This window comes from Homo sapiens, chromosome 4 (genome assembly GCF_000001405.40).
Source record: "Homo sapiens chromosome 4, GRCh38.p14 Primary Assembly".
Lineage (NCBI taxonomy): Eukaryota > Metazoa > Chordata > Mammalia > Primates > Hominidae > Homo > Homo sapiens.
This window is the reverse complement of record NC_000004.12, coordinates 164,942,213-164,953,205: the sequence shown is the minus strand read 5'-3', so window position 1 is coordinate 164,953,205 and position 10,993 is coordinate 164,942,213. Positions and strand designations below refer to the sequence as shown.

The following is a 10,993-nucleotide window of genomic DNA, read 5'->3' as shown; positions in this document are numbered from 1 at the left end:
TTGAAATTGTGTAATGGATCTATGGGGGTTGGGGTGATCTATTGTACAATTATGTCTCTCTTTCTGCATGTTGGGACTTTTCCATAATATCCCAATAATTAAACTGAGATCATACAGCATCCTAATTATTGTTGTGTCAACCCCACATGGGAAAAATTGAACACCCATCAAATTTAGTCCAGATATAAAGACTGATTATGCCACACACCCACACACACACTAGAAGGATAGGAACAGGTTTGTTTCTCACATGCTGGGGTGTTGAAGGAGAGCAGCACAGGCCTGTAGGTGGTCTGTAAATGGACTGTGAGAGCAGAGAAAGAAGACGGGCTTGGTGTTTTTCTTCAGGTTAAGGTGTGGGCAGGGTGAGGGATCACTCATTCACAATGAAAGTTGCCTGGTTTGAATCTCTTTCCTGCCCTGAAGGAGGGAGCACCTGGGCTTTCTTGGCAGGTTGCCCAAATGTGCGGCCAAAGAAAAAAATGGAGGAGTGACGATTAAAAGTTATCAAGGGTGAAAAACTGTAAAAATGGATTTGAACTATTTTGTAGGATTCCCCCACACCCTGATGTTTAACTGTTGATTAGATGCACCATGTTTCATTTCATTGAATTTGAACTTGTTTGAGTAAGCCTTTATGGTGCTTAATGAAGCTGACAGCTTAATCTAGTAAGGGAAGTTACAATTCCATTGAATGCCTTCTTCAGGACCCCAGCATTGCATATTCTGGGAAGTGAAATGAGTCTTTGGTCCCTCTCAGTAATGTCTGGAACTCCAAAGGAGTTCCAGATCCTGTTGAGGTTTCGTATTGTGGCCTTAGTGTATATAGAGAAATGTGTGACCTTGAGTTAGATTTTGGATATTTGTGAGGCAAGAATTCTTTACTCTGAAGCAGGTAACTCCAAGGCTATGGCTCCATAGTTAGTAAAACTGCATATTGGGCTGATCATTGGTCAGGGGCTCCAATTCTGAGAAGATGGCCTGAAGTTCCATCCATTGACTGACCTTGGAGTCCTTTTGCTTGTTAAGAATGTCCTGATTAATAAATGAAAAGTAGTAAATCCCTACTGAGCTCATCATGCATGGCAATGGTTATGCCATCCTTACAGTGTATAAACCCCCACTGCTGTTTATCATTTGATCCCGGAGGTGTGAGGGGGAGGTCTCTCAGGTAGCCAAAGGACCTAAGAGAGGAGCCATCTCCTAAACCCAGTGGCATGTGGCAGGGACTAAGGACAAGGTAGGCAGGCTACCCCTTCCTGTGGATGAAATATGGCAGAGGGCCTGCGTCTGGCTCTATGATGTAACAAGGATTCCTCCTATACCTGTGCTGAACTAGCAGGGTGCTGCTTCTAGAATCCAAGGCATGCTGAGCAACTGAGTATGAAGAGTTAGAGGCTCAGTGCCTGTGAGAGCTTAATGTACTACAATTTAGAGTCTGTAGGCCTTTCGTGGAGGGGGCCCCATTAAAGATGGGTGGATTTGGAAGTAACAGCATAAGTGACCTTAAGCAAAATTTATAAATGATGAGTATGTTTCCTCCAGAATCCAAAAAGTGTTAAAGATACTGGGCTTGTTTTCACATTGTGGGCATTGAAAGGTTTTATAGCTGTTTCTCCACAGTGTCAGAGATGGAGTTGCTTTCAGTTTACCAAATAATTTTCAGGCAATTAATCGAATAAGAGGCTTGCACTGTATGGGGGAAATGACCCATTCCCTTTGTGTAAACTCTTTTGTGAGTATTTTCATGGCTTGAATGAGTGTTTCAAATGGATCACCATGGAGGAGAATGTCATCCATGTAAATCATACCTGCTGTTCTGGAAGAAGTTGAATGAAGTTGGAATCTTCCCTACAAGGTCTGTGTGCAAAGGCAAGACTGCTGAGGTGCCCACGATTAGTGGGTAGAGATGCATAAAATTCCTTTGAGGTAAAGGGAAAGCATGGCCAGGAAGCTGTAGAAATAGGCCTGAAAAAAACTAGCCAAATCTTTAGTAGCCAGATATTTACCACTTGCTGATTGGATGGAGTAAATCATGTCAATAACATTGGGAGAGATCATCCGATTAAAGCTGTTATCAATTCACTCTGAGATGTCATACTTGTTTCAAAGTGTAACAACACACAAAATTGGGGTTGAACCCAGAAACAGTGAGATAATCACTCCTAGGTCTTGTATCATGGGTTTCAATTCTTGAGTATCCTATTTTAGCTAATATTTAGTCATATTATCTTTTTTTCACTGGGGTCAGGAACATCCTTTGGATCCCATTTTGTAAAGCTAGTTTGAAAATTCAGAAGACTTAATGTAATTGCATTTATTACTTATCCTATCTCTTTTTTTCTCTTTGATATATCATCCCAGTGTGTGCTCTGATCATGGAAAATTTAGGGAAACCAGTGATTCTCATAGTTAAGGGATACCTCTTTTATCTCCATTTTATGTTCAGTAACATCACTAAGGTAATAGAGGCTTCATCATTTAAAATCAGAGGGATCCCTGGTTAACTAATTAGAGGCAAAGGATTACATCTATGAGTTTTCCAACTGATTCATTTCAACAGATGCTGAGGTTCAATCACCATCCAAGTTATAGAGAAGGAAAAGTCAACCAGCACCATTAAATCTTCTGTGTTGTGCAGATTCTTTTGATAAATTTTGCATATTCAACTGGAAATTGCAAATTAGGAACTTCTGTTCCAGTTTTTTTTTTTTTTTTTTGATCCTCTCCTTGAATCTATAGTTTGGTTTTATCTTTCTTTCTCTTTATTCCTGATTTCTCTGACTTTCATGTCCATTATTTTTTATTCTTTTTTTGTAGACATGCAATACACTTTATGGGTTGTTCCTTTTAATGTGATTATGCTTTGACAATACATAATAATCATTTAACGTGATTATTGTCCATGACAATACCGATTGTAACAGCTTGTGAAGAAGTTTCAATAGATAAATAACTTTTCTGTAAACATATCAGTGAAAGTATACACACAGAATTTGTTTTTTAAATTATAAAAGACACAGCAATATGTCTGGACTGAGATGCATGACTCAGGGAGACATTAAAAGGGATCTGAGTCCATATTCCTGTTCTTAAATACCAAAATATTATCTAAATTACTGACCTAGGTCAGAGAAATCTCTCAAAGAGCCTCAGCCGAACTCAATAAAAGCAGCACAAAGCAGCTGAGCTGAAAGTTCAGGCTTGTCATGGGGCACAGAGCCAGTGAGCAAAGCAAAGCTAAAACAGCAATTCCCTGAAGGTGGCAGCCAACATCTGGATAATCCTGCTCACAATGCCCATTGTAGGGGTCAGTTTGCATACAATTTGGTTCAGTGTTGAGACTGCTAATGCTAATGCCACACCTCCAAGATTGTGTGAAATGGATTCTTACTCATGTAATGAGGTTTATGGGGAGAGCAGGGTGTCTACACAGTTGGTCCAAAAATGACTTGAGAAAGCAGGGAAAGGAGACAGGTTTGGGGTTGTGATGGTGGTCATGGGTGGGGCTACTGAGAGGGTCCTTCACTACCAGGGGCTTGCTAGGTCTGAACTTCCCACCTGCACCAACAGAGGGAGCACCCAAGGCTTTCTCATCAGCTTGCCCAGGGTGGGCAGAAGGGAAGAGAGAAGAGTGAGTCCCCCCAAAAATACCAGCAGTCAAACATACACATAGAATAAGAAGCTTCATTTACAAATGCCCTCTAAGAACACAGGAAGAAAAGATAGCCACATACAAAGGGTGCTCTAAGTAGTTCATCATTAGCCTATGACAATATGATTATAACAGCTTGTGAAAAAGGTGCAATAGAGAAATAAAGCATAAGCTTTTCTGTAAACGTAGTGAAAGTGTAAACATATGATCTGGTTTTTAAATTATAAAATGAAACTTCTCCCAATTCATAGTCCAGAAAAACGCCAATTTGCAGGACTTCCGTATTCCTTGTACTACATGAACTACAGAATGGTCAAATTTGCCAGCACCCCATCTGTGGAGTTGGTGATGTAAGACCATCTCTGGGAAATGTTTCTTTACACCCACCAAGGGAGCATGCACCTGTGCCTCTCACTTCTACTTGCCAAAAGTGTCTCCCAGCATCAAAGCCCTCACAGCTCCAGACAGCTGGGTAAAAACTAAATGACGGAGGATTATCAGTAAAGTGTGGCTTCCTCATCCTAAATATCACATTTTTTCTATCTCTTGAGATAATAAGACTAGGGTGGGCTGTTTCTGGATCTAGCATCAAATCTTCTTGAAATGTGCTTATAATTCTTTGCAGGCCAAAATAATGTGGAGGGAAACTCAAACTCTCCTTCTTTAATTTGTATGAGAAGACTGCAGGGGTTTTCAGGTTGTCATATGTGTTGTAGGTGTTCTCAACACCTGTCAGCACATCCAGGTCTGCCCGAAAACACTTCTCTGTTACTTCATTTAAGAGATTCTGTAGTGTGGATAAGTGGTCTGAAATTTGTCTTCGGTTTTCAGTGAGTTTTTCTTTATCATCCTTCTCTTCAGTAAGTAATCTTGCATGAACTGCAGCTTGTTTCTTTACCAAGAAATATTTAATTTCTTTAAATTCAGATTGTAATTCCTTCCTCCATGTTGCCATCTTCCTTTTCACATTAAGAGAACTCAAAATTGGGACTTCACACCGCATCTTGGCATGTTCAGTTTCCTTCTTTAGTGGCTTAATGTAGCTTTCGAGCTTTCTCCTGTTTCTGGCTGCAGCTTGCTCAATGGGCATCAGGCGGTGATACTGGTGGTCAGAGGAGACCCTGCACTGGGGACACAACAGCTCCAGGCCCTTCTCACAGAACAGAGCCAGACGCTGACTGTGCTTCCCACACAGGGGCTCCTCTTCCTGCCATTTCCTCTTGCTTCTCATGGTAAGAAGCTGCTGAACCATATCAGTCATGTGGCACAACTGGGTGTTGCTCCTGAGGTTCTCATCAGGGCAGTGACGGAGGCAGACAGGACAGGGGAGGACATCTTGTAGGTCTTCCCAGCACTTGTGGATGCAGGAGCGACAGAAGTTGTGCCCACAATGAGTGGTCCTTCATGTAATCCAGGCAGATGGGGCAGCTGGCCTCTGCTTGGAGCTCAGCCAGAGAGGCTGCAAAGGCCATGGTGCAGGGAGGGATCTGTGTGGGGAGACTCCCTGCAGAAGGTGTGATTCTCCAGGAAGGAGGGAAAGTGAGAAGCTGGTGCCTCCTCAGCGTTCTGTCTCCTGCAAGCACTTCACAAGCCTGTGTCTGCTTCTTTCCCTTTGGCTCTAGAAGCAGCTCCAGGGGGAGGCAGGTCACAGGGCACCTGCCGACCCCTTGGCACCAGATCCTCCTTTACTCAAATTCAAGCTGGACTCTTTCTTTGTCTTTCTCAGCAAGGGCCACAATTACAAGAGGTGATGGAAACTAATGACCATGTAAAATACTCCCAACTGAGACTTTCAACAGAACAATAAAGCAGTTTTCTTCAACTTCAAAAGGAGAAAAAAGAATAAGATACTAAAGCACTGAAGAGCATGTATATCAATGAAAATAACTACCTAATAATTTTCCTTATTTCTATATAAACACTTCTAAAAATAAAGTCCATTGAGATAGAGGCAATCTCGTAAGTATTCACTAGTTATGATTTCTGATAATGATATTATGAGCTTAATATTTGAAAGAGGCTCTATATTTCAGACACTCGTAGTACAGTATTTACCCATAAGATTATATGTGATCCTGGGTTTGCTTCAAACTATTGCAAAGTATAGGGATTGGGATATAAATTTATAAGTGGATACACAGTGTTTGTTGCACTAATTTTGCTACTATTTTATATACTTTAGATGTTCTCCAGTAGAAAACGATATTGAAAAGGCTGATAGCCTGGACAAAATGGCGACACTCCATGTCTATGAAAAAAAAAAAAATTAGCCAGGCATAGTGGCACACACCTGTAGTCCAAGCTACTAGGGAGGCTCTGGTAGGAGGATCAATTGAGACCGTGAGGTTGAGGCTGCAGTGAGCGGTTAGTGTGCCACTGGACTCTAGCCTTGACAACAGAGCATGATCCTGTCTAAAATAGAATGAAATAAAATAAAATAAAATAAAACAAAAAGCTGAGTCTTATTGTCTCTCTGTCATTGTCCCCAAGCCAGACCAGCTTCTCTCTTACTCTCATTTTTGAACCTCATCTTTCACTTCTGCTATATCTAGAAACTCTAAAATCCCTTGTGGGCAGGGCACAGTGGCTCACGCCTGTAATCCCAGAACTTGGCAGGCCGAGGTGGGAAGATCACCTGAGGTCGGAAGTTTGAGACCAGCCTGGCCAACATGGTGAAACCGGGTCTCTACTAAAAATACAAAAATTAGCTAGGAGTGGTGGCAGGCACCTGTAATCCCATCTACTTGGGAGGCTGAGGCAGGAGGATCACTTGAACCTGGGAAGCAGAGCTTGCAGTGAGCTGAGAGGCTGCCATTGTGCTACAGCCTGGGCAACAAGAGTGAAACTGCATTTATTTATAAATAAATAAATAAAATCCCTTGTGTCCTCCTCTTTCTTCTTCACACTTCACACAAATCTCCCCCACATTCTTTTTCTACTCCAACTCCATCTGGCTTCCAGGCCTGACTCCTCTATGGCCACACAAATCTCCCAAGTTCAGACGAACTAAATTAGTGGCAAGAGCAAGGCCAGGCATTATGGTTTCAAGTTCTAATATTTTGGGGTCGCTGACCACAAGCACAACTGGTCCTTCCCCCTCGCTCTCAACTATTGCATCCTCCTCTGACCTCGCCTACCTTATCTACTCCACTGGCTAGGTCTCTGCAAAGTGAATTTCCTAAGCACTTCCTCAATATAGCCTCCTATTCCACCCTGGTGTGTCGGAGTGTCGCCATTTTGTCCAGGGTGTCCAATGTAGCCTCCTATTCCACCCATTTTCGTCCTCATGGACTGTGAGGAGAAGTCCTCGCAGGATTGCTCCATGCGCAGCCTGAGCCTCCGAGGTCTTCCCCAACGCATAACGTGGCCCACGGCGCCTGCTCCTTCCCCGAGTCTCTGCTCACCTGCACCTGTGGTCGGAGGGGCGCTTTCCTGATATCAAATCCCCACTTGGGTCCAGACTCTGTGAGTATTCAGGAGCAGCCCTTAAATTTCCAGATGTTGGGGTGATTCTCTCAGCACCACTGCCAACTAAGAATGGCTGCTCCTGTCTTGCAGGTCAGTCGTGTCCGTCTTGGTCCAGGTCAGAACAGCAACACAGCACAGCCTCTCCATCCACCCGAGAGTTCTGAATCTGGCGCCTTCAGAGCTTATAAGCCTGTGGAGAGTTTCCTTTCTGTTCCCTTATTGGACAGACTCTGGATGCAATTAGCGTCTGGCCAACGACCGGCTCTGATGAACATTTCCCACCTTCTTCTCTGATTGCATTTTCAGCCTGGGAGATGTGGTGAGTGAGGAGAACGTGAGGAGACTAAAAGTGGAAGATTGGATTTCCTTGTCTCTCAGTAGTCCATTGAAACTCCTCTAACTTAATCAGTGATTTGGTCCTGGGTTAATTGAATATTGGAAATATTTTCGTCTTGTTTTTCTCAGGCAGGCAGATGTAGGATTTGTTGGCTAACGTTGGCCTTTTCCTTCTCAGGCAGTTTTAATTCTCTTTGTCCCTTGAAGGAAGTGCTTCCAGAGTCGGTCCTTGCCTCTTTGTTTTCTGTATTCCCAAACTCATTCCAGCATTTTCAGCCTCCACAGTCTCAGACATAGCAGACAAACTGCTGGCAGAGACATTTATATGCTATCTGCTCATTCTGTAGGTGGGGGCTTTGTAGGAGTGTGGAGAGTGGAGGCGCTATGTCTGGGCAGTGCCGGGCAGCTGTAGAGTAGGCTTCCCTAGGTGGGATGATTCAGACGTTTCCTGTGCGGTACCTGGGTTATAGTTAAAAGAAATCTCCCTGGTGACTCTGGCAGTTTGTGAGATCCTTGGCAATGTCATCCATAGCAAATGGTTTCAGCTACTATCTGCATGGGGACAATGTCCAAGTCAGACCCCATCTGAGTTAGGATCTTTGTATTAATATACACAGTGTCTGCCTGTCATCCCATTCACTGACAGATATTTGCTCACATATTCTTCGAGTGCTAGCTGTCTATGGACTCTGACGGAAAGCCTGGCACACAGGGATATGGTACCCTCCTCAGCGGCAGGAAGCTGCAGTGCAGAGGAAAGAGAGAAAAGCAATGCAATGATGGCGTGGCCTCCTCTTCATGGGACTCCATTTACTAAAAGGAGAGAATACGAATATTCTTTTGTCAGGAGCACAAACACATACACTGCAGAAGGATTTGATGGAAATATTTTAAAGAGTAAATATGTGTGCTGTATAGGAGAGAACACCCTACTTGGCAAAATAGTTACACAGTGCCTTGCTGTCATCTATTTGCCTTCCAAATGATAATTGCTCTCAATGGCTTCTTGTAAATGTTCCCAAATGGTCTAGGCATATACAACCCCTCCCCCACCCCGCCGGGCATTTATATGAGTAGGGGTTATGTATAGAACACTCCTTGTTAACCTACAAATAGAAGCTACTTGCATATTCTACAGCTGCCCGCCATTCGTTTTTGTCCTATATCACTATATATACTTCAGGCTACTTTAAAATGGATTACCAAATTTAAGGAAAATCTTCTACAGGAAGTACTATAAATGAAATGGATGTTCTGAACCACCTGTAGGGCATCCAGTCTTCTAGGTTGTTTCCCACAATATACTTGGCCCTCTGGTTTGTTCCTAGAGAACAGCTAGCATTACTTCATTATTAACCATGATTCATGCACTACTTCACCTAAACATTCAATGGAACCTATGCATTAGAACTGAGAAGTAGTGATAATTGCCTCCTATACAAAGCAGAAGAAAGTGAGTCCTAGAATGGGTAATTCATCCAAAGTTGTTGACTCTTCTATCACTTCTCCATCCTCCCATAGCATCCTGTATACCCTTTTGTGTCACCATCAAAACACTTCTGATAACTTTCTTTCTTTCTTTTCTTTAATTTTATTTTACTTTAAGTTCCGGGTTACAAGTGCAAAATATGCAGGTTTGTTACATAGGTGTACACGTGCTATGGTGGTTTCCTACACCTATCAACCCATCATCTAGGTTTTTTTTTTCCAACAAGAAGCCATAACTTTATTTATGATAGAAACAGTACAAATTTCAAACCAAGCTGCAGTTACTCCTTTGAGACACCAAGAAAAGTTGCTTTCAGATGGTTACATTGTTAATTCCATAATGGCACTTACAATATCATTACTGTTGTTCTTCAGGGCATGGACTGCCTTTGCTCTCCACACATTTGCTTGTGACATGACCAATTCTATGTCCTTAACTTCTACACCTGTTTCATCGACCTCTTCTTCTTCACTCTCCTTTTGTACAGTTGGAGTTTGTGTGTTTTCTTGAATGTTTGAGACAGCTTCACCTTGAACATTGAATTTCTCAGCAGCTGCTAGTTGTGCTTGCTCAGATAAATCTTCGATCTTGGCTTCCCCAGAAACTATGTAGGTATCCAAAGCAGGGCTCTTGCAGACATTTGGTTTTGTGATGACAAAAAGGATATTCTTAGATTTCCGGATAGCGACTCTAGTGACTCCTGTAACCTGTCGAAGACCCAGTTTGGACATAGCCTTCTGTGCCTTCTTTTCACTCCAAATCTGTTTTGCTTTACTGACTGGCTCTTCATCAATTTCAGCTGCTGCCACCAGCTGGGCTTCTTGTGTGGACGTCTGGGTGGAATCCTGTTCTTCAGGCTCTGGTACTGATTCATCACTGTCAGATTCTGTTCCAGACCCTGTCTCAGCCTGCGGCTGCGGCAACTCCTGCTCTGTAGCAGGGACGGTTTCTGTGGCTTCACAGGGCATTTTGTGCAGGGAACGAGGAACCAAGATGGTGGCAGAAAGAGAGTGAGCCAATCATCTAGGTTTTAAGCCCCGTATGAATTAGGTATTTGTCCTAATGTTCTCCCTTTGCTTGCCCCTCACCCCCTGACTGGCCCTGATGTGTGTTGTTCCCCTCCTGTGTCCATGTGTTCTCATTGTTCAACTCCCACTTTTGATTGAGAATATGTGGTGTTTGGTTTTCTGTTCCTGTGTTAGTTTGCTGAGGATGATGGCTTCTAGCTTCATCCATGTCCCTGCAAAGGACATGATCCCATTCCTTTTAATGGCTGCATAGTATTCCATTGTGTATATGTAGCGCATTTTCTTTCTTTTCTTTTTTTATTTTTTTTTACGGATTTTCACTCTTTCGCCCAGGCTGGAGTGCAGTGTCGTGATTTCTGCTCACTGCAAACTCTGCATTCTGGGTTCAAGCGATTCTCCTGCCTCAGCCTTCAGAGTAGCTGGGATTACGGGCACCCGCCACCACACCTGGCTAATTTTTGTACTTTTAGCAGAGACGTGGTTTCACCATGTTGGCCAGGCTGGTCTCGAACTCCTCACCTCATGATCCACCCACCTCGGCCTCCCGAAGTGCTAGTATTATAGGTGTGAGCCACCGCACCCAGCAATATACCACATTTTCTTTGTCCAGTCTATCATTGATGGGTATTTGGGTTGGTTCCATGTCTTTGCTATTGTAAATAGTGCTGCAATAAACATATGCGTGCATGTATCTTTATAATAGAATGATTTCTATTTTTCTGGGTATATGCCCACTAATGGGATTGATGAGTCAAATGGTATTTCTAGTACTAGATCCTTGAAGATCTAGTCTACACTGTCTTCCACAATGGTTGAACTAATTTACATTCCAACCAACAGTGTAAAAGCATTCCTATTTCTCCATAGCCTTGCCAGCATCTATTATTTCTTTTTAAATGGGCCATTCTGACTGGTGTGAGATGGTATCTCATTGTGGTTTTGATTTGGATTTCTCTAATGACCAGTGATGTTGAGCTTTTTTTCATATGTTTGTTGGTGGCATAAATGTCTTCTTTT

General features: G+C 42.9%; 2 pseudogenes; both read right to left on the bottom strand.

The window, feature by feature from the left end:
• Positions 3,813-5,112, bottom strand: LOC391711 (tripartite motif-containing protein 60-like; annotated as a pseudogene).
• NACA3P (NACA family member 3, pseudogene) lies at positions 9,166-9,955 on the bottom strand (annotated as a pseudogene).